The 23,633-nt window shown below is 47.3% G+C and overlaps 1 protein-coding gene across 4 annotated transcripts in view, besides 4 other annotated features; it reads right to left on the bottom strand.

Annotated features, from left to right (window-relative positions):
- Window positions 1-23,633, bottom strand: part of MATN2 (matrilin 2) — a 167,661-nt gene that overhangs the window by 17,035 nt on the left and 126,993 nt on the right. For all 4 annotated transcript variants that reach the window (NM_002380.5, NM_030583.4, XM_005250920.3 and 1 more), the window contains 5 exons: window positions 15,907-16,029; window positions 12,463-12,585; window positions 12,089-12,211; window positions 3,028-3,150; window positions 1,574-1,696 (listed from right to left, as the gene is read on the bottom strand). In NM_002380.5, coding sequence (NP_002371.3) covers window positions 1,574-1,696; window positions 3,028-3,150; window positions 12,089-12,211; window positions 12,463-12,585; window positions 15,907-16,029 — 615 coding nt within the window. The remainder of the gene's footprint in view (window positions 1-1,573; window positions 1,697-3,027; window positions 3,151-12,088; window positions 12,212-12,462; window positions 12,586-15,906; window positions 16,030-23,633) is intronic.
- Window positions 757-926: an enhancer, noted in NCBI's record as "experimental_103770 CRE fragment used in MPRA reporter constructs". NCBI's record gives its function as "activates a minimal promoter by MPRAs in K562 erythroleukemia cells, with activity observed for both the introgressed and non-introgressed 8:99031077 variant alleles {active_cell/tissue: K562}" and the evidence as "EXISTENCE:reporter gene assay evidence [ECO:0000049][PMID:34662402]".
- Window positions 6,737-6,906: an enhancer, noted in NCBI's record as "experimental_103766 CRE fragment used in MPRA reporter constructs". NCBI's record gives its function as "activates a minimal promoter by MPRAs in K562 erythroleukemia cells, with activity observed for both the introgressed and non-introgressed 8:99025097 variant alleles {active_cell/tissue: K562}" and the evidence as "EXISTENCE:reporter gene assay evidence [ECO:0000049][PMID:34662402]".
- Window positions 8,156-8,814: an enhancer, noted in NCBI's record as "H3K27ac-H3K4me1 hESC enhancer chr8:99023104-99023762 (GRCh37/hg19 assembly coordinates)". NCBI's record gives its function as "activates a minimal SCP1, AML or CMV promoter by ChIP-STARR-seq in naive and primed H9 embryonic stem cells {active_cell/tissue: H9 hESC(naive and primed)}" and the evidence as "EXISTENCE:reporter gene assay evidence [ECO:0000049][PMID:30033119]".
- Window positions 11,799-12,299: an enhancer, noted in NCBI's record as "H3K4me1 hESC enhancer chr8:99019619-99020119 (GRCh37/hg19 assembly coordinates)". NCBI's record gives its function as "activates a minimal SCP1, AML or CMV promoter by ChIP-STARR-seq in primed H9 embryonic stem cells {active_cell/tissue: H9 hESC(primed)}" and the evidence as "EXISTENCE:reporter gene assay evidence [ECO:0000049][PMID:30033119]".

Raw genomic sequence — 23,633 nt, 5'->3', positions numbered from 1 at the left:
ATCCCTGCTCTGTACTCTCCTAATGCCCACCTCACTGAGCTCGTATGACATCCCTCTGTTCCTTTGGGTACTGTGAAGGTTAATTTGATGTGTCACTTTGGCTAGGCTATAGTGCCCAGTTGTTTGGTCAAACACCAGTCTAAATGATGCTGTGAGCTAATTTTTAGATGCAATTAACATTTAATCAGTAGACTTTGAGTGAAGCAGATCAGATCACCCTCTATAATGTAGATGGGCCTCATCCAATCACTTGAAGGCCTAAAGAGAAAAAGACTGAGGTCCTCAGAGGAAAAGGGAATTCTGCATCCAGACTGCCTTCAGACTTGGGCTGCAGCATCAGCTCTTGCCTGGGTCTCCAGGCTGCCCTACAGATTTAGAACTTGCCAGCCCCTGACAATTGTGTGAGCCAATCCCTTAAAATCAACCAATCTTTTCCTCCCTCACAATATATGTGTGTTTGTGTGTGTGTGTGTGTATGTCCATTTTTCCTGTGGAGATGATATATTAATAGAAGATAGAAACAGACCATAGTATACATATATACATCACACACATATATATGTGTGTGTATATATATATATCTTCTATGATATATATAAATAGAAGATAGAACAGACCATAGAAGACATATATATATTATATATATGTCTTCTATTATATTTATATATAATAGAAGATGAAGATATACATAGAGAAGGTCTGTTTCTCTGGAGAACTCTGGGGAATACACCTTCTAACGAAACTCTCAGAGCCTGTTCTGGGTGACCTATAGAAGCAAATGATAAAAATAATAGAAAAAACCCACAGGAAATCCCTCTGATATGGTTTGGCTGTGTCCCACCCAAATGTCATCTTGAATTGTAGTTCCCACAATTCCCACGTGTTGTGGGAGGCACCTGGTGGGAGGTAATTGAATCATGGGGACGGGGCTTTCCTGTGCTATTCTGATTGTGAATAAGTCTCCACAAGATCTGATGGTTTTATAAAGGGGGTTTCCCTGCACAAGTTCTCTTCTCTTGTCTGCCACCATGTGAGATGTGCCCGTCACCTTCTGCCATGATTTTGAGGCCTCTCCAGCCAAGTGGAACTGTGAGTCCATCAAACCTCTTTCTTTTGTAAATTGCCCAGTCTCGGGTATGTCTTTATCGGCAGTGTGAAAATGGACGAATACACCCTTTCACCCTTTGCCCTTACTTTTACGGTCTGCCAAGAGGAGAAAGCTCTGTAATTAACCTTCAGTCCTTGTAGTGATTGCTGGCAGAGGTTCTAATTCAGTCCAGTGACTAGCACTGTGCGAGTTTCCGGGCACCCACACAGCTACTGTGGAAAGGGCTGATGGCTGGCAGAAAATGAAGAGAAGCAAAGAACCCAAAACTCAGGCCTTGACTGAGAAATTCCCGAAAAAGCAAGGGGCTACTGAACTGATCTCTAGCTAAACACTTTCAGAGCACCCAAGGCAGGAACTGACACTTGTGACAGTGGTAATAAAGGAGGACTTTAAGGATTAAATGAACTTCTCTAACTGTCTGAGTCCACAGAGGGAAAAGTTCTTCTCCACCTCGAGGCTACTTACTTCGGCAGCGTTTCCCATCCTCAGCGAGCCGGAATCCCTCCAAGCACTCGCACGTGTATGAGTCATCACTGTTCACACAAATGTGTTCACAGCCATGGTCTATAGCTTGGCAGACATCTTTCCCTGAAGACAGGAGAGCAAGTTACAACAATTTCAACAACATACATTTCACATGGACTTCACCTTGGAGGACCCATCCACTGGAGTCAGCTACTGGATTCTATCTGCCACCTGAGCTCAGTGGTCCATGGGGCAGGAAGTTACAATTGAGAACAAAGTTTAGCGGCTCTAATTCGGGCTAACCCTTCAAACTGTTTCACTGTCTTCACCATCATCGTTCACCAGCACTACTTTAGTGTTAAAATGCAGTCCATCATCAACTTTCTGTAGACATAGTTTCTGATATCAGAATGGAAACACTTGATATGATTCCTTAGGAGGTTAAACCTCAATTTAGATTAGCAGCACTGAAATCTAACTTTGGCTTTGTGCCTAACATAGTGTATGACTTAGGAGAATCACTTAACTTCTTGGAGTCTTAGCTGTGCTGTCCAAAAAATGAGAGAGTAATTATTCCAGTTACCCATCTTTTCTTCCAAAAGTGTCAACATGAGTTGCTCTTTATAAAGTGCTTTGAGACGTTGAGAAAAAGATAACTGATATGGATGGAAACCAGGGTCACACACTCCCCTTTGATTATTCAGAGATGTGTCTTGAGATTTACACCAGCAATTCACTCTAAGGCTGCTTGTCCTGGGCTGGCTGGCTGCAGCCCCATCTAAGAGGCTTTGCCTTCTGAAAGGCAAAACTGGCTTCATCACAAGGTGCCCTTTGGGAGGGATTTGTGCTACCAGAAATAACAACAACAACATTATTAAAGATAAATAAGCAGAGAGGCTTAGAGAAGTTAGGCAACTTTCCCAGCTAATAAATGGCAGAGACAGAGGTTGACTGAATCTTGGATTTCTGACTGTCCATCTTTCCACTAGAGTATACTGCCAAACCACTGTTTCTTGCCACAGAGCATATAAGTGAAGAACTTCAGTAGTAGCTCTGGCATTGACTTTTTTTGTTTGTCCATTTTTTTAATAGACTTTATTATTTAGGACAGTTTTAGATTTACGCAAAAATTGAGAAGATAGCGCAAAGAATTGCAATATACCCCACACCTAGTTTTCCCTATTATTAACAACTCACATGAGTATGGTCCATTTGTTATTATTGATAAACCCATACTGATACATGATTATTAACTAAAGTCTATATTTTATTGACATTTACTTATTTTTTCCCTAATGTCCATTTTCTCTTTCAGGGTCCTATCCAGGACACTACATTACATTTTGCTGTGTGGCATTGACTTCTGAGAGGAACTGATATATACAGAGATAAGGATAGCGATTTCACACAGTGGTCTGGCATAGTAGTAGGAGCCAGCTCCAGTACAAACTTACTTCTGCAGGTTTTTCCATCTTCACGGAGTATATAACCTTCAAAGCACTGGCACACAAACGAATCTTCACTGCTTACACACGAATGTTCACAACCGTGGTCCCCCAGAGCACAAGAGTCCAATTCTGAGAATCAAATGGGAATTAGAGAAACAGAAGAAGAAAATGACTCATATATTAGTGGCTTATTCAATCATAAAAGACATTTCAGACACTTTGAATTAAAACAGTGCCTTATCCTACAGTACACATTTCAGAATATAAAGCATGTCTATGAGCAAAAATTCTTTTTTGAGAAAGGGTCTCACTCTGTCATCCAGGCTGGAGTGTGGTGGCGTGATCTCAACTCACTGCAGCCTCTGCCTCCCGGGCTCAAGTGATCCTCCCATCTCAGCCTCCCAGATAGCTGGGACTACAAGCGTGCACCACCACACCAGGCTAATTTTTTGTGGAGACGGGATTTCACCATGTTGCCCAGGCTGGTCTCGAATTCCTGGGCTCAAGCAATCCACCCACCTCGGACTCCCAAAGTGAGCAAAAATTCTTAATATACACATGGCACATAAAAATCAAACAATATAAATCATCTCCACAAGAAAAATGAACAAAAAACATGAGAATACAAGTTACAGAATGAGAGATAAATTACTTGTAAATATTAGAAAATAAGATTAACCTAACTGGCTATTATGTAACTATAATATCAACTTATTTACATATCTACTTATGTATGTATGTATATATTACACTTAGGTAACCAATTCATTCATGTATTCAGTCAGTTCACAAATATTTTGTGAGTCCCTGCAATGAGCCAGGCACTGTTTTAGACTCTGGGGATATAGCAATGAACGAAACAAAGTTTCTGCTTTTGTGAAGCTTACATTTGGCAGCAGGTGTCAGGAGAAGAGGGATGCGTGGAAAACAGACAAATATGTGATATGTCATGTGGGAAAAAGTGCTATGGAGGAAGAGCAGGATAGAAGGATGGAGAGTGGCTACTGGGCTGGAGAGTAGGGAGGGCTTGTTATATTATATGGTGTGTCAGATATGGTGACACTGAGCAGAGCCCTGCAGAAAGACAGGAAGTGAGTGGTGGTGTCTGGGAAAGAGCATTATCAGCAAGAAAGAACAGCATTTGCAAACTGCAGCAACGGGAGCTGCTTGGTTGGTGTGTTTCAGGAAAGGCAAGGAGACCACTGTGACTGGAGCATCCGGGAGCCTGGCAGGGGATGAGGCCAGCAAGGTTGGCTGGGGCAGACCATGTGGGGTTCACAGTGGGGGTCAGATCTGAAAGAGAAGGGCAGTCACTGCAGTGTTTTGAGCAGTGGAGTGGCATGATATGGGTTTGTTTTTAAAGGATCGCTCTGCACAGAATGGAGCTTGGACACCTGGGAGCAGCCCTGTGCAAAGATCTTGGTGGCCCAGACCAGGCTGGTGAGAAGTGGTCAGACTGGCTGTATTTTAAGGTAGAATCTATAAAATTTGTTCATGGATTAATACAAAGAGCCCATATGGATAGGACAGAAGAGTCAAGGAAGACTCCCAGGTTGCTGGACTGAGCAACTGAAGGATGGCATTGCCATCTTACAGGGCTGGGTGGCTTCTGGGGGACTAGAAGGTTTGTGAACCTGTGAAAACCAGGCTGTTACTTTAAAAGCTTAATACTGAGGATAGGTGAGTGGTGACTTTTTATAAGAACCCTACATATTTCTGAAAGTTAACTCAATCCTTTCAGATTGAGTAGAATTTCTAAAATGGACATGAATCGGAATTATTAAATAAAGGCCCCAAAGCACATAATGACCTTTATAATCAGGCACAAACCACACACTTTTTTTGGTAAAGCATCTTTGCAGTATCTCTCTGGAGAGGACTCCTCAGAACCACCTTTGGGTTAGTTAAGGCAGCTGTTGTTATTCTCACTCACCAGCTAGGGAAACTAAGGGTTGGGAAGGCTGATGGCTTGTCAAGACCAATTGTTAACAAGAGAAAGAACCAGACAAAAATTGTAATCTTATAAATAAATCCCCGTATTTTCTGACTATACTACATTGCTATATTCTACAGCAAGCTTTCAAATGTGAAGGGAATTTCTTTGGGGAGAAGCACTGCCAAAATCTTTGAAGAATGGGAAAAGTTTGATAACTGCAATTACAGCTGCAGAGGAGGCTCAAAGCCGAGTTGGACCCTCCTGTTTGCCCTGAGCATGACTTGCTTTTCTCAGCAAATTCTAGACTCACTATTAATGCAGAACATTTCCTGATGGTTTGGGATAGTTCCTCACATGGTGTAAGAGTGGAAAGTAGAGTTGAGTGATCCATGATATAGACAACTGGATGGCCATGGAGGTGAGGTGTTTTTTTTTCCCCCTACCGTGAATTTATAATACTACTACTACTCCATTTTCCATGGTAATAAAATAGCTATAGCTCTTTCACGTCAACCTTGTCAAGCCATAATCCAGACAGACCCCTAAGCCCTTCCTTCCTGGAGCTTCCCTTGTGCCCAGTCCTGTCCTCCTAGCTTCAGCTAAGGCTCTTTTTTTTCTTTTTTTTGAGACACAGGCTTGCTCTGTCGCCCAGGCTGGAGTGCAGTGGTGTCATCGCAGTTCACTGCAGCCTTGGCTCTTGGGCTCATGTGATCCTCCCACCTTAGCCTCCTGAGTAGCTGGGACTACAGGTGCATGCCACCATGCTTAGCTAATTTTCATATTTTTTGTTGAGATGGGGTCCCACTATGTTGCCCAGGCTGGTCTTAAATTTCTGGCCTCAAGTGATCCTCCCGCTTCAGCCTCCCAAAGTGCTGGGATTACAGGCATGAGCCACCACACCTTATCTGCAATGGATATTCTTGTGCATGTAGTTTTATGTACAATGTGAAGGCATACCTGAAAGTTACACATCCAGAAGCAGAATTGCCTAGGTAAAGGGTATGAATACTTAAAGGCAGATAAATATTTCCAAGTCATCCTCCAAAGAGATTATTTCAATCTCTACTCTCACCAACAATGTAAGACAGTCTCTGTTTCTGTTTCTGATTCAGGGTTTCTGGGATGCTGCCTGGGCCTTTAGACTTTTTCCTAGCCCCATAGATGATTTCAACGAATCATCAGAGGTGAGATGTTGGCAGTGGCCATAATGCCTGGCACCTAACAGATCCCTAGGAAAGACCTGTTGAACAAAAGGAAACATTTCCTCAGTTTGCTATTCTGAAAATTGAGGGTAATTAGATCCACCTCACAGGGGTTTTGTGCAGATGTTTTAAATAAGAACCCCATGGGATGTGTGGATGTTTGTGGCCAGCTAGGCTTCCCACTCTCTCCCACACACCCACCTTGCAAAATGCACGACTCACATTTGTTCAGCAAAATGTCCAGTTTCTGCCCTTCAGGGATGTTCTGGGCCACTTATAAATTCAAAGAACCGTGGATGGGAAATTAGAGAATGCCAAAGGTGGATGATAGTTAACCTCCTGACCATAGGCGCTAGCTTTCTATCCACCAAGTCTGGAAACCAACTTGGAGTCAGTTTCTACCCAGGGCAAAGATACTCCCCTATAGGAAAATGCTTCAGTGGTCCCCTAACAGGCAAACAGAGCCACCACCCCTGACTCAGTACCACTGGGTGTCTTCAGCCTGGGAGACTATGGTGGGCACCACAGTAAGTCCATTCATTCAGCAAGTGTTTACGGAGCACTTATCTGAGCCAGGCAATATCCTTGTTTGGGTGCTGGAAGTTCAACTCATTGGATATGAACTAGTCCAACCCCTTCATTAAAGATGAGAAAACTGATGGTCAGAGGGGAAGTGACTTTCCCAATGTCCCTGAACCTTCAGAGGTGACTGGTCTTAGCTGTCCTGGGGGCAGAGATGGGACTATATTCAAATAGACCTCCGTGTCCCTGGTCCAGCTGCACATCCACAGATCATCCTAGCTTAAGGGAGTGTGCTGAGGCAGCCTGGCAGATTCTCAGAAGACAAACTAGACAAAAATCATTTTCTCAAGAGAGGCCAGCCAGGAAGTCTCTGAAGGCTGTAGGTGGGTGATGTGTCCCGCCGGCGTCCCCAGGCTCGTTTCTCACCCACCGCCTCCCTCTCGCATTCAGTACCCCGTACTCAGAGCACAGAACTTCCTGCAGTTCGCTCTCTGGCCCCTAGTGAAGCATTTCCCCTCCATCTCTGGCTGGCTCACTGTACTCACTCTCTGGGTGTCGGATTAAACATCTTTCTCTAGACTAGGGGAGGCTCCCACAGCCCCCTCCTCTGGGTGTTGGATTAAACTTCTCTTTCTCTAGACTAGGGGGTGCTCCCACGGCTCCATCCTTCTCACATCACCACTCTCACCATAAGGAATGGACGCTGTCTCTGCTATCCTTCTTCCCCGAGAAGCTTTAAACACTGTCAGGGCACAAACCGAATCTGCATCAACCCCAGAGATCCCCAGCACCCCGCACAATGCAGGTACACAGTAAATATTTGTAGAGAACGAGGGTAAAGGAACCAAGCGCTTAAGGAAGTACCTAGATTCAAACCCAGAGAGGAGAGTAAAGACAGACTCCATTAGGAGCCATCACTTAAGTGAAATAGGTGGGAGGATGTAAGAAATCTCAAGAGGGAGAAAGAAAACATTTTTCCTCTCAAAGAAGGATTCTCCTCCTTTTACACATAAGGACCCAGGCCTATGTGTTTAATTAAACCCTCATCGTGAATGGATTCTGCAGCGTGTGCTCAGGATGATTAGAAGTTTTAGGATGTAGCACGGGTCTTTAGGGTCCCTGTCTAGCAGCCCTGCACGCTGACACAGGTGAGTCACGTAAGTCTGTGGCGCAGCAACAGTGGGGCAACGTGTTCTGTGGACTTGCACCTCTGCCGTGATGACAGACAGCAATCCTGCGTCTGGGGCTCCACATAAGACGTTGTTAAAACCAACCCCAACCCCAGAGAGAGAAAGCCACAGTGGCCATCTGCCAAGACAGTAACCAGAAGCCGACAGATAGAATTACACTGCTTCCTGGCTTTTCTCGTAATAAAACTAGCAGCAGCCAATCCTTTGCTAACTTAATATAGGCTTTTTCTCAGACAAACCAAGAAGCAGCTGAACTGAGATGTGCTTTTCCAGGGCATCTCACACTGGGCAAAAGATCCTAAAATCAGGGGACTCGGCTCTGGTCCTGGCTCTGCCACTGACTCCCCGACCAGGGCCAGCTTGGAGGCATCACTTTCCTCCATGTGTCCGTTTCCCACAAAATAAGGGAAAATCTCTAGTTTCCTTCTGTTGCATCAAGCCTGTAATGTGAATACATGAGAGTGAGGGTGGTCCCCTCCCCCTACTCCCTGCTACAGACTGTTTCCCCCAAAATTTACATCTGAATCCCTAACCCTGATGTGAGGGTATTCAGAGGTGGAGTCTTTGGGAGGTAATTAGGTTTAGATGGGGTTGTGAGGGCAGGATCCTGACCTGATAGGATTAGTGTTCTTATAAGAAGAGACACCAGAGAACTTGCCTGCACTCTTTTGCTCTCTCACCCCCTACAACCCATGCAATATGAGGACACAGCTGGGTGCTGGCTGTCTGCAAACCAAGAAGAGGGCCCTCACCAGAACCCAGCCATGCCAGCACCTGGATCCTGGACTTCCAGCCTCCAGAACTGTGAGAAAGAAATTTCTGTGGTTAAGAAACAACATTCAGTCTATGGTATTTTGTGATGGGAGCCCGAGTAGACTAAGACACTCCCCTAGCCTCGCCTAGGCCTGCCTCAGCCCTGGAAGGCCAAGCTCAGGGCCTCAGGCAGCCTAACAGGCCCTCGCAGATCTGCCTGTGGTAGTTGGACTGGGAGTATCACCAGCAGAGATCCCCCAGTGCCCTAGGCTGACGGCTCTGATCCCCGTTGGTGTCCTCCGCTTGCAGAAGGGAGGGTCCCTCATAGGACAGCCCTTGGACTCCTGAGTCCAGCCCACTTCCAGAGTTGTGTGTCTCTGGGGCCCCTCCAAGGAGAGCAGGCCTGGCCCTGGCAGATGGGTTTCCAGGCAGCAATACCTTCTGAGTCTCCTCAGTGCAGGGGGTTCTGATGCTGGGAGGGGAGAGAGGAAGAGGAATTCCTTAGGGGTCACGGCAGTCCACAAGTTCACATAGCACTGCAACAGCAGTCTCCCTGAACCACACAGTGGCCTTGAAAGGCAGCAACGACCATTCTCAGTTTAGAGATGAGCAGTCAGACCCCAAGAGGGCCAATTCCCTTGCCTAGGGTAGAAGCGACACGATTTAAACCCAGTCTTTGGGCTTCCAGTTCAGTACTCTTTCTGCTCTGCCACACTGTTTCTCAGACATGTGCACAGAGAGCCCCAGGGTGAGGCTGGGCAGGAGAGCTCTGCAGAGAGGCCCCAGCAGAGCCTGGGGTGGGAGGAGGAGAGGAGAGCCTATCAGGTGGGAGAGGAGGTTACCCATGGGGGTGACATTGGGATGGGCTGGAAGGCACCAGGCCTGTTCAGAGAATGGGGGACTTGCCACTTTGGCTAAAGAACAGGAGGCGGCTTCAGGGAGGGCCTGGGGTGAGGCTAAAGAAGTGGAAGAGGGGGTTCTGCACTCTGCCAAATCAAGGAGTGCAATGGAAATTTATTCTGGGAGACAGTGGAGAGCCACTGAAGGTTATCAAGCGGGGAGCGGACCCTGTGCCAGGGGCCGTGGGGCAAAAAGACAGGTGGCCTCTGTCCATTCACGCTCCCAGTCATTTCATGTTGGCCTCTGACCTCCAACCTCCAGGAGCTTGCAGGCCAGTGGGCAGTGTGGTCCATGCACATCAGGCCTATAGAGTCTTTCTTGGTGCTGGGATGCCCTTGCACAAGGTCAATCTCAGGGAAACGTCTAGAGAGGGAAGGAGTCTGCGCAGCTGCAGCTGGTAAAAGAGATCGCCCCATCCCCTCCCCGACCCCCCACACCCTGAGTCTGTGCATCTAACTGCCCGAGGCAAAAAGGCCTCTGGGGAAAATCTGGGAAAGCAGAGCTTGCGGTCAGGGGGCTGGAGGAAGGGAGGGGACATCGCTCCAGAGGCCAGAGAACCCAAGGTGCCTGAAGAGGTAGGGGCACAGCAGTGCCCATCTCATCCCAGGGCCCCTGGAACCCCTCCACACTTCAGAGAACTTTCCAGAAGGTGAGTGACACATTCTTAAGACCACTTGCTATCAAAGCTCTAAGTGGAGGCTGCCTCTATAAAGAGCCAAGGACACTCTTATCTGCTGAGCCAGGCCTGACTGCCCCCCAAAAGGCTTTACCAAATAGGTGCAGTCATGTCGTCTGGCCCTTTGTCATTGAGAGTAGAGCTGGGGAACACACATCCCAACCCCCAGTTAGCTGTGGCCACGCTGAAAACCTAGCCCATTATTACAGGACAGGACAGTCAGAATGAATCATTCTGGGACAGGCAGAAAGTCTTCAATTAGGGGAATAGCTCAATGCATATGTATCAGCTGGTGGGTGAAATGCATCTCTCCTATACGGTTCCTGAGGACAATTCTCACTTATCTGACTATCTCACAAGTTCTCATCTAGATACAACCACATATAAATAACAAAATTCACTATTCATTGCATTGTTGGACATTTACTCATGTAGATGGTTCCACTGTGCCATTGGTTAGAAACCCACTTTAAATGAGAAAATGGGCAACACTTAAAAGTGGTCAGGTCAAAATCCAGATGTGGACCTGGGCAGGGGAGAGGAAGGGGCACCTGATTCAAAGGAGATGGAGCTGCATTTGTTTAGAAGGGCTCATGAGAATTTCGTAGGGTCCTACAACCATCTTGTAGTCAGTTCTTGATTATTACAGGAACGAGGTGGACAGAAGAATGACTCCTCTTATTCTCAGAATAATCTAAAATGATGGAGAATTAAACAAACCAACAAACCCCTTACATCTGGCTTTGGCATGCTGTCAATGTCGATGCAGTTCAACACACCCACCCTCTTTCTGCACCCCCTGTGCCCGATCCCTCCCTGAGCTGGCTGCAGCAGCAGTCTGGGAGGCAGCTGGGCAGGGAGCCACCGAAAGCTATAACATGGATAACCCATTTGCTAAGATCCAAGGATCTGTCCCAAACTGGAAATATTTTCTCACAGGCAGCATAGAGAGGCACGCCCAGCTGTGCAGCCAGCTCATCTGCCTAGATGAATAGATGATATAAAAAGTGGATAAATTAGGTTGTGCCTACAATTATACCAGTGGTCAGGGAACTTGGCCCTATAACCAGAAAGACCAGCAGGCTGGGGAAGATAAATGGTGGTCCTTTTCTTTCATTTCTGATTCCTTCTCTCAAAATGACCATATTTCGATTCTTTATCTTGGTCCACTTCGAAACAGGATTTCAGGGCAACAAACACACCAGCATTCTTCAGTAAAGGAGAGAAGGAGGTCTGGGAGCAATTTTTTTTTTTTTAATTGAGACAAGATTTGGGACCAGCTGCAAGGAAATATGTACCCAGGACACATCACTGCCAGCCTCACCATGTGCTGTGAGATCACCGGGGTCAGAAAGCAGGGCAAAGCGTTTCTCAGGAGCATCCTCTTCTCCCAGGACTGACTTTGGAATCACAGCCAGCAGAGTTTGAACCCACCACTCACTAGCTGGTGACCTTAGGCTCTTTACTTAATCTGAGCTACAGTTTTTCCTCATCTGTCCCCTGAATGCAACAGCATGTGTGCTTAGCACAGTGCCCAGCATGCAGCTAGCAGTCAGTGAGGGGTCCACATTATTATTATTCATGTGCCATACTAGCTGGCTGGGGGTAGAGCAGAGAGAGCTGAGGACAAGGGCTCTGTCCAGCTTCAGAATGACAGGGAGGTGGAAACAGCAAAAAGCCACTTCAGGGCACGGGGGAAGGAAGATTGAGGGGAGTTGGTGAAGCAGCCACCAAGGCTTAATGGCTAAGAGATGCTGTCACACACATTCATGCAGGCCCAGCAAAGCCTGGAGACAGGACACACAGGCACATATACACGTCGGCAGCGCACCCACACCGGCACCCACGGAACACCTGTGCAGGTCCTGCTTGTCCTTCAGACACTTACTTGCACACGTCTTCCCATCGCTGCGGAGCACGTGTCCCTCAGGACACTGACAGGCAAAGGATCTGTCCATGTTGACACAGGAGTATTCACAACCATGGTCACTCAGCAGGCAGTAATCCACCCCTGCAAAACCAAAAGCCAGGCAGCCCTTTATCAGTGAGACCTCTGGGCGACAGTGATTGGATCAAGTGACCGTCATGCTCACCCCGCCCTCCCTCGAAGGCATGCAGTCCCAGTGGACATCCTCACTATCTCCTGGAGCAGAGCAAGGGGCAGGGGAGGGGTGCCCAAGTACAACCTGTGCCCTCTGCAGTCACATAGGTTTCACTCCTGGTGCAAACCTTCCCCTATGAGAGGAGCGCGGAGGGACTCACGGGAGCAGGTCTTGAGGTCCTCGTTGATGAGGAAGCCTTCTGAGCACTGGCAGACGAAGGAATCCTCCGTGTTCAGACACAGCTGCTCACAGCCATGGTCCTGCTGTGCACAGTGGTCCACTCCTGCATTTTCACACACGCGAAAGCATAGAGGAGCCGAGGGGGCAATACCCCACCAGCAACCAAGATTCAAAAACAAAACCGGAGGCATAACAAGCCACAGGGAAGGTGTCATTCTACCCCACATCACTGATCCCTCTAGAAAATCAGCCTGGCTTGTTGGTTTTCTTTCCCTTTTCACCCAGGCTGGAGTGCAGTGGCGAGATCTCGGCTCACTGCAACCTCCACCTCCTGGATTCAAGCGATTCTCCTGCCCCAGCCTCCAGAGTAGCTAGCTGGGGTTACAGGTGCCTGACACCATGCCCAGCCTTCTTTCCCATTTCTTTCTTTGAAGGGTAAAGCATACAACTCCAATGGCTGGGGAATGCTGTCCCTGGTGTTGACGACAGCAGCACTCTGCCAGGGCCATGGCGCACAGAATCCACAGTCTCAGGGCACCTCTGAGAGCAGGTGCAATTCCCATTTCACAGAGAGGAAAGTGAGGCTCAGGAAGGTCAAGATCAAAGCCACACAGCTAATAGAGTAGTGCTTAGAATGCAGGTTCTGGCATCAAACTACCTGGGTTCAAATCACACCTCTGCCACTTCCTAGCTATGGATGCTGGGCAGTCCCACGGCCTCTTTGCCATCGTTTCCTGATTTGTGAATGTGGATGTTGATGGTTGCTTTCTTATAGGAATAGGGTGAGAATAAGAGGGGTTGATTATGTAAAGCGCTCAGAACAGTAGCTAGCATACAGCAACCACTTAATGAACACACTATTATTATCAAGTAGTGCTGAGTAAGAATTAGTCATATAGTTTCATTTCTAATTGAAAATGAAAAAGAGTTGTCATTCTCCATGAAATCAATTTCTATTTTTTTTACCCCCATTATCAGGACATCCAGATTAAAAAACAAACCAAAGCCTGGGACTGCATGTGTGGCCTATCCTGGCATCCGAATGCTGCACAGCTGGTCCTCCGGGCAGCAAGTGCCGAAGGCTAATGAACACACAGCTGTGGTGAACAGCTCCCACTAACAGCCCTGCAGGCTGCTTCCCAGGTTTCCCTTATGGAGAAAATGCACCTCCAGAGACTGGACAGACACTGGAGGCCTGGTGCAGGTCTGCCAAGTGGGCCTCTTGACTCCCGCAGAGTCTGGGACCAGTGCCTTCCAGAACATTCCACTGGTGGATGCATCTCCTGCGAACACTTGCTGGATCTTGGGAGCTACATGCCTGTGTTCACATCCTAGTGTTGCCATTTGTTAATCACAGGACCCCAGGACAGTGACTTAATCCCTTTGTGTCACAGTTTGCCCTTGTTTAAATAGCGACAAGAATGTGGGTGCCCAGTAGGGCGGCTGTGAGGATGCAGGGAGTTTATGCATGGGAAGTGCTCAGGGCATTGCCTGCACAGAGTGAGCGCCTCAGAATTGCTTGCTGTCTTTATGGCCTGGGCTCCCTGATTCCTCTGAGAAAGCAGAAGCCTGTGGCTTTCTCTAAGGACTGCGAGACAGAAACAGCTTGGTTTGTACTTTCTTAGAGTTGACTAGATCCCAGAGAGAAGGGAGGGTCCCGATCTCTTGTGGTCCGTTCTTAGAGCTCTTCTGGCCCCCGGAAGCATGCTGGGAGGGGCAGTCAAGCCATGTCCCTGGTGATCTGCGTGGGCTCAGCCAGGTCAGGACCACCTGCCCTGGGAAAATTGCCAGGGCCATCAGCTGGCAGACCTGACACTCCGGGAAACAGGCAGGATACACACAGATCCATGGTCACCAGGGCATCTCCTGTTGAATGGGAGACCCGCTCCCCGCTGGCCTCTCAAAAGGACTCAGAGACATGCAGAGGCAACGTACAGCAGGCACTGACTTTGGCACCACTTTCCAGTTCAAAAGCCCTTTGGCCTCTGAGATCAGTCCTTAGAAAGCCTTTACCGGGCACTTTGTTCTCTCTGGACACTGGAGGAGCCACGCTTTCCTGAGGACTGCCCTGGACCTCTTATTTCATCTGGGAAACTTCCCTGCTGGCAGCGTGGAGCCCAGGGCTCAACAGCTGCACTGTCCTCACTCACAATCTATCTCTTTCTCCAAAGGGAGCAGATGTGGGGCTTGCTGAGTGGAAAGGCACATAAAGGGCCCCTTCTGCATAGGCCATGTCATGGAGATGGGCCCCCTCTCCCGCATGCCAAGGGCATAGGGTCCATCACCACACTCAGGCGCTCCTATCCTGCTGGCCAGGACCCGTGGAGATGGTGCCTCATAAAAAACCATGGAGCCGCCCAGCTGGCAGAGCTTGCAAGTTCCCATACATTTACATCACCCAGTGGAGCTTTGTTGTGGCTCTGACACAAGAAAATTAAGACAAGCCTTCTCAGAAAATCCCATGTTTCTTGATTCTGCTCTCAGATCAGCCTCTGCAGCCCATTGCTTTCCAAGGTCTGTCCCCTCCGGCCTCTTGTCCCAGTCTGGCGCCAGGCACTGGCCCCTCTCACAGGCTCCATGATAGGAACAGTTCCCCTTGATTGGAAGTTTACCCTGTGCCAGGCACCAGGCTAACATATCAAAATGGCTCCTATTTCTCCCTATAAAAACCCTGTGGGAATAATACGACTATTAGTTTTGCTTTTTGTCATAAATGGGAAATCAAAGCATGGAGAAGTTAAATAACTTGCCCAAGTTCACACACATCTAGTAGGTGGGAGAGGTTGGATTTGAAATTAGACCTGTCTGACCTAGTAAATACACTTAACAGCAAATACTAATATTAGTTAACATTTATTGAGTGCTTATGCCTAGCAGTGCTGTTCTAAGTATTTTACTCCTATTCTTTTTTTTTTTTTTTTGAGATGAAGTTTTGCTTTGTCGCCCAGGTTGGAGTGCAATGGCGCAATCTCAGCTCACTGCACCTCTGCCTCCTAGGTTCGAGTAATTCTCCTGCTTCAGCCTCCCGAGTAGCTGGGATTATAGGCACCCACCACCACACCCAGCTAATTTTTTGTATTTTTAGTAGAGATAGGGTTTCACCATGTTGGCCAGGCTGGTCTTGAACTCCTGACCTCAGGTGATCTGCCCGCCTTGGCCTCCCTGTGCTGGGATTACAGGCGTGAGCCACCGCGCCCAGCCTATTCCTATTAATTCTTTTAATCCTTGCAACCCAAGTTGGCTAGGCCGATAGCATTAATAGTCACATTCTATGGGTGATGAAACTGAGGATAAGGAAGGATACACCTGACAGACCATCAGGAAACCCGGTGGGCTCCAGAAATAACTGGTTGCTAGTGAACCCGCCCGCCCCCATGAGTGGACCCCACCTTCCATCAGCACCCCACCCCTAGGGTACACTCACGGCTGCAGGTTTTGCCATTGGGGTCCAGAGTGTAGCCACGGTGGCAGCGGCAGTAGTAGCTCTCCTCCATGTTGACGCACTCATGCTCACAGCCCGGTTTGTTCAGTGCACAGTAGTTGATCCCTGAGGGGAAGAAGGGCAGACCTTCCTTCAGACTCTGGACCTCTCCCAGGGCTGATGGCAGCCCCTCGGGGCTCCCATGAGCCCCCATGGAGAGGGCTGGTGGGTGCTGCCTGCTGAGGCAAGCCGGGACGGATCATTCATTCGTTTGTCTGCCAGCCAAGTGCCAGGCCTTGAGCTAGATTCAGAGATTTAATGACGACTGAGATGGAGGCCCTGCCTCAATGGGTTCAGGCTCTGGTGAGGAGTCAGACAAGGACAGCAACTAAAAGACAATGCAGAGCACAGAGCAGGGGCCTCACTGAGTCCTGGGGTGAGAGGGTCTTCCAAGAAGAGATAAGGCCAACAGGAGGCCCCAGGGAGGAGGAGGAGTTCCATAGGTAAGGGAGCTCAACAGGAAGAAGAACATGAGGACTCGAGGACAGCAAACGCAAACACCTGAGGGTGAGGAGACAAAAAACACAAGTGCTTGGGGATGAGGGAACAGTGAACACAAATGCCCGGGGATGAGGGGACGGTGAACACAAATGCCCGGGGATGAGGGGACAGTGAACACAAACGCCCAGGGATGAGGGGACAGTGAACACAAATGCCTGGGGATGAGGGCGAGGGGCATGCCTGGGGAGCTGTGAGGAGCTGAGTATGGCTGGAGTGTGAGGAGAGAGATGAGGCTGGGAGGCAGAGGGAGCTGGCCCACCTGAGCATGACTGGACGTGCGGGCTTTGCAAGCCCCAGGATGGATCAGTGAAGGCTCTAAACAGGTGACTAGAGGTGAGAATGTTGGTGGAGGTGACAAGGCCAGGGTTATGTCTTGAAGAAGACTTTGCAGTAGAGGTGGAAAGGCAGGCAAACTTCACTAAATCTTCAGGAAACCAGGTGAGCTACAGGACACAGAGAAAATAGCTCCTGCTCTCCAGGAGCTTGTTTAAAAGAGGGCCTGGCACCTGAAGTATACCTGTGGATTCTCCAGCATTTTCCCTCTTTGATGGCCAAAGAGCAAGCCAAGGCTCAGTTGAGCTGAGCTGAACTGAGTCAGTGGCCAAAGAGCTGAGAGCTGGGGTGAGAGCCACGCTCCCCAGCCTACCTCCTTCCAAGAAAGATGGAAAAGCTAAGAAAATCCAGTATCTCTCTCAGGTTAACCTGATCACTTGGGCTCAAAGCATGTAGAGAGCTTCTGTCTACAGTGACATCTGACAGTGACATTGGACGGCACAAGGCAAAATAAACAAAAGGTGATCTTGCAAAATATCCAGCTATTTAGGGACGCAGGGGTTGGCAGTTTCATGAAGAAGGATCTAAATGCTTCGCCTTGCTCTGTTGAGACCACGCTGGCATAGTATCGTGGGACTGGAGGAGGCGTATCTCTGATGCTGCCCCAGGCTACTGCAATTCTGTCCTATGGTAAGGTCACTCTATCCATGCTGTGTTTCTGCCAGCAGATGGAAACTGTGTCATAACCAGGAGCCAATAAGCAATTCCTTTCCTGGTAGAAAATGCTAAAGCCATAAGACCCCACACATAGCAGGCTCCAGGGAAGATAGAGAACTGGAAAAGGACACAAAATGAGCTTGTGGAGAGGCTTTATGAGACTGGTGTTGCGGGAAAAGGTCACCACCGACCTCATTGGCTGGGCTGGATCAGTTTAACTGCACAGCATTGTTCTTTTTCTGGGGATGTGGCAGACACTGTTGGTTGTCTTGCCAATAACCATTACCCCATGACCCCCAAGCATGAGTCATGGCTGGTCTAAGCCAGCGTGGCAACCATGTTCTTCTTTGTCAGTCATTGGTCAAGGGGTGGGAATATGCCCTAGTTCTGACCAATGAAACATAAGAAGCTTACTGGGGGCCCTCAAGAAAGATTTTTCTTCCTGAAAAGACAAAGGTGGCCAGGCACAGTGGCTCATGCCTGTAATCCCAGCACTTTGGAAGGCCAAGGTGGGCAGATCACTTGAGGCCAGGAGTTCAAGACCAGCCTGGCTAACATGGTGAAACCCCACCTCTACTAAAAACAAACAAACAAAAAAACAAAATTAGCTGGGCATGGTGGCATGCGTCTGCAATCCCAGCTACTTGGGAGCCTGAGGCATGAGAATCGCTTGAACCCAGGAGGCAGAGGTTGCAGTGAGCTGAGATTGTGCCACTGCACTCCAGCCTGGGCAACAGAGTGAGACTCTGTCTCAAAAAAAAAAAAAAAAAAAAGACAAAAGTGTATAAAGAGAAATGCTTTTCTCTGCTCTCTGTCCTTTCTGCCTTTGAGTCTTGTAGTGTAAGGATATGATGCTGGTAGCTGCAGCAACCATCTTGTAACCAAGAGGTGACAAGGATGAAAATGTAAATGCAACATACTTTGCCAGAATAGAAAGACAGAAAGAGTCTGGGTTCTTGATAATATCACTGAGTCACTGAGCCATCCATAGGACCAACCACCTTTGGACTTGTCAGGTAAAAAATAAAAGTCCTTCTGACTTAAAACACCATTAATTGGATTTCCGGTTTTGTGTGAACAAAAAGCACCATAACTGATACAGGGGAAATGATCTGAAATCATAAAGTAATGACTAGATTTTATTTTTACCATGTATCTGCCCAAAAGTTATTTGACGAAGCTCACATCCACAAATCACTTAAAGATATGACACATCACCCTCTTGTCTCAGTGGCTCCTTGCTGCACTGGCTAACCTCTATCTTCCTTCACGATCAGCTCAACATCATTTTGTCATCTTTTGTGACCTCGTAGATGAAGTCAGTTCTTTCTACAGGACCTCTCTTTCGTAGCATTCATCACAATGGTTATGTAGTATGTTTTGTATCTGTGATGCTTCAAAGTCTGTTTCTTTCACTAGACTGAGTTCCACGAGCAGGGACCATGCCATCTTTATTTTTCTCACTATTAGTGGCAGTCTGATAGTTACATTAGTGATGATAATCATAGCATCATAGCTGCTGCCATTTCTTAAATACCTGCTGAATGCCAGATGCTGTGCCAACCACTTTACAAACATAACTTCATTTGACCCTGCAAGATATGTGTGATTGTTAACCATATTTCTTTTTTTTTTTTTTGAGACGGAGTCTCGCTCTGTCATCCAGGCTGGAGTGCAGTGGCGTGATCTCGGCTCACTGCAACTTCTGCCTCCTGGGTTCAAGCAATTCTCCTGCCTCAGCCTCCTGAGTAGCTGGGACTACAGGTGCCCGCTACCACACCCGGCTAATTTTTATATATTTAGTAGAGACGGGGTTTCACCATATTGGCCAGGCTGGTCTCGATCTCCTGACCTTGTGATCCACCCGCCTCAGCCTCCCAAAGTGCTGGGATTATAGGCGTGAGCCACCGCACCTGGCCTGTTATCCATATTTCAAAGCTGAGGAATTGAGGTTTAGCGAGGTTAATAACTTGATCAAGATCCACTGCTAGTAAAAATGGAAATGTGAATGGGACCCAGACCTGAAGGACCCCTCAAAGGGTCTCTTAAAGGATCTGGCTGGACACAGTGGCTCATGCCTGTATCCCAGCACTTTGGAAGGCTGAGGCGGATGGATCACTTGAGGTCAGGAGTTCAAGACCAGCCTGGCCAACATGGTGAAAGCCCACCTCTACTAACAATACAAAAATCAGCCAGGCATGGTGGTACATATCTGTAGTCCCAGCTACTTGGGAAGCTGAGGTGAGAGGATCGCTAGAACCCAGGAGATGGAGGTTGCAGTGAGCCAAGATCGCGCCACTGTATTCCAGCCTGGGTGACAGAGTGAGATTCCGTCTTTAAAAAAATTAAAAAATTAAAAAAAAAAAAAAAAAAAGAATCCGTGACGTGCCCTCCCAGGTGACTGGTGGCTGGAGCTTGCTTCATGCCCAGAGTATGAGCAGAATGGCTGCAGACAGAGTGCATGGAGAGAAGGTCACAACATGCAGGGCTGGTGTAGAAGAAAAGACATCACCTTGCTGTGTCACTGACCCTTGGCACTCTCTCTGGAGCTCACTCCCATGTGAGGAGAGGCAGGATATTGTTAGCTGTGTGCAGTTTCTATTCATCTACCTGAAACTCATCAGCAGCCTCACCTGTGCAGGCCATAACTGAGTGCCAGGAAACAAGCCAAGAGCTTTGATGGAGGAAAATAGGCCTGGCAATAAAACACCAGTCACAGACAGACAGACAAACACAGAACAGGAAGGGCCCGCAGTCTACTGCCTGTAGGAATCACTCCATTACACCATCAGGGAAAGGTGAAATGATCTTTAGTCAACTCTCTTTTTAAAACCCAGCATTCAGCCACTGTGGAAAACAGCATGGCGGTTCCTCAAAAAATTAAATATAGAATTAACCATATGATCCAGCAATTCCATTTCTGGGTATACACACCCAAGTTCATAGCTGCATTAATAAATAAAAGTCAAAAGGTGGAAGCAACCCAGGGATCTATCAAAGGATGAGTACAAAGGATGATGTATAGATACAATGGAATATTATTCAGCCTTAAAAAGGAAGGAAATTCTGACACGTCCTACAACTGAACGAACCTTGAAGACATTATGCCAAGCAATATAAGCTGGTTACAAAAGGACAAATATTCTATGATTCCACTTATATGAGGCACCTAGAATAGTCAAATTCATAGACAAAAAGTAGATTGGTGGCTGCCAGGAGATGGAGGAGGAGGAGCTGGGGAATTATTGTTTAATGGGTATAGAGTCTCAGTTTGGGGTGAAGAAGTTCTGGAGATTGAAGGTGGTGATGGTTGCACAACAATGTGAATGTGCTTAATACCACTGGACTAGATACTTAAAAATGGTTAAAATGGTACATTTTATGTTATATATATTTTGCCACACTAAAAAAGCCAATGTTGTCTTTAAGAAAAATTTATATTTACGTATTGCAAAACAACATATTGTATACAAGTATACAATTTTTATGTCAATTTTAAAAAATAAATAAATACCAAAAAGAGGTACAACTATGTTGTAACAATTTTAAAAATATAAAAAAAAATTTTTAAAATTTTAAAAATATAAAAAAATATGCTGAAGCTCTCGCTTCAGCAGCACATACAATAAAAATATAAAAAGAAAAACATTTTTAAAAAATTAAAATAAATTAGTAAATAATGTTTCAAGCAAGATTTTTTTTTTTTTTTTTTTTTTGAGACAGAGTCTCACTGTCGCCCAGGCTGGAGTGCAGTGGCACGATCTCGGCTCACTGCAAGCTCCGCCTCCCAGGTTCACGCCATTCTCCTGCCTCAGCCTCCTGAGCAGTTGGGACTACAGGCGCCCGCCACCAAGCCCGGCTAATTTTTTAATATTTTTTAGTAGAGACGGGGTTTCACCGTGTTAGCCAGGATGGTCTCGATCTCCTGACCTTGTGATCCGCCCGCCTCGGCCTCCCAAAGTGCTGGGATTACAGGCGTGAGCCACCGCGCCCAGCAAGATTTTTTTTTTAAAGAATGATTTACACATGAGATAATTCAACTGAAAACCATTTAGATTCTTAAAGAGGTTATCACCCAGCAATCTGGCAGGCAGCTATTCAAATACCACCCTTTTCGGCTGGGCGTGGTGGCTCATGCCTGTAATCCCAGCACTTTGGGAGACTGAGGAGGGAGAATCACTTGAGTCCAGGAGTTTGAGACCAGCCTGGACAACATGGTGAAACCCCGTCTCTACTAAAAATACAAAAACTAGTCAGGCATGATGGTGCACGCCTGTAGTCCCAGCTACTAGGGAGGCCGAAGTGAGACAATCACCTGAGCCTGGGAGACAGAGGTTGTAGTGAGCCAAGATTGCTCCACTGCACTCCAGCCTGGGCAATAGAATGAGATTCTGTCTGGAAAAAAAAAAAAAAAAAAACCTTCTCCAAATGGTTCTTTTTAGCAGACGTTTAACAGTGGCTCTTTGCCTTCTCACCACCCTTTTGTCATATTTCCTCATGTGTGTGCTTCTCAGATATTCACTCACTCACTTATTCATTCACTAAATATTTATTGAGGACCTACTGTGCATCCTATATCTGGTACCATGATAGGTGCTCTGACATGGCACCCACAGGATGGACACAACTTAATCTGGTAAGGCCCAGAGTGTCCACTAAAGCTCTGTGAGGTCAGATGACAGGACTGTCAGAAAACAAATCAAACGATCTTTCTGAGTGCTAACTTGTGAAAGAGTTGGAGCCCTGAGCAGGTAAGACTGAAACCATGAAAGATCAGTGACCCCAGGTAGTACATTTTGATACCAGCTGAGTGCACAGATAGTAAGTTTCAAAAAAACTGGAGAGGCAACAGGGTGTTAAGGCAGGAAGTCCTGTTCCTACAGTTTAGGAAATCCAGGTCCTGAGAAGTAGAAAGTAGCTGCTCAGGGTCACATAACCAATATGAGTGACATTGCCAAGCCTGGACGTCACGTCTCTTGGCTCAGTCGAACCCGTGGGCTTCACACCAATTTTTGAGAGCACTCATCATGGTACCAGAATCAGGGATCCTGGAGCCCAGCACAGGGGATGAACCCACATCTGATTTGGCCCTAGGGCTCTACCTGGGCAGGCAAGGCAGTCGCAGTTTCTGTGCTTTGCACTACTGCCTTAATAATTCATGCCTTAAACTGATGATAGCACTCTCCATGAGGAGAAATTGTGCCCAGATGAGGAGCAAGAACAAATCCTGGCCAAGAATCTTTTCTTCAGTAGGATTCTGCCTTGATCTTTTTTCCCCCAGTTTAATTTCGATGACATCAAATTCCTTTAAAAATAGATTTCATATTAGATTTGAAAATTACCCACATCCATCAACCTCCTATTAAACGTAAATGGCTGTATCCTGGGCTGAAGATTTGTAATGCTCAGATCACTCAAGAGACCTCAGGCTTCTAATAACGGACTCCAGATTTTTAAACCCAATTTCTTGGCTTCCTTCATCCACATAATGCTCCAGAGAGACAGTGAGCACTCGCTTCCGTTTACAGCTGTCTGCCCTAATGGACTGAGTGCAAGCATGAAGTCAGGGGCCGCTCCTGCAGGCTGACCTCAGGAGTCAGGGTTGGGTTCACAGCAAAGACAATGGAAAATGTAACGATGAGGCGGGACGTTGGGCGAGGGCTGATGAGGACACTGGCCTTTAGGAACAAATTTCATTTTTCTTGGATGAAAAAGTAAGAACCCTGGCTAAAGAGGGGCTATACCCACTGAATATACATGGATGAGCATTAGGGACTCTGGTCGGGGCCACAGCTTGCTTGCAAACAGGCCCACCTGGGGACCAATCTGTAGCGCTCAGACCACTCCAAAACGGTCACTCCCTCTCTACTCGCTCTTCCTTTCTCAGTCTTCTCCTTCCCATGATAATGATGCCTGCATTGCATTGGATCTTCTCTTATTCCAAGTGCCTCTCCAGGAAGGGTGTGGAGGGAGTAGCAGAAATTAAGGGACTCAGATGGTTGGTAAGACATGCAGAACGTCAAGAAAATGTCCTCCGCCCATGGCCCCAAGCCTAACTTGTTTCCTTTTTCCCCTCCATTAGTAACACATGAGGAAGCTTGCAATGAGCATCTGAGCTGAACCAGATCTAATCACCGCCCACTGAAGAGCTTTGGGTCTGCAAATTTGAGTCCACCTGG

The sequence above is a fragment of the Homo sapiens genome, chromosome 8 (assembly GCF_000001405.40).
Source record: "Homo sapiens chromosome 8, GRCh38.p14 Primary Assembly".
In the NCBI taxonomy this organism is placed as follows: domain Eukaryota; kingdom Metazoa; phylum Chordata; class Mammalia; order Primates; family Hominidae; genus Homo; species Homo sapiens.
This window is presented reverse-complemented; position numbering and strand designations above follow the sequence as displayed.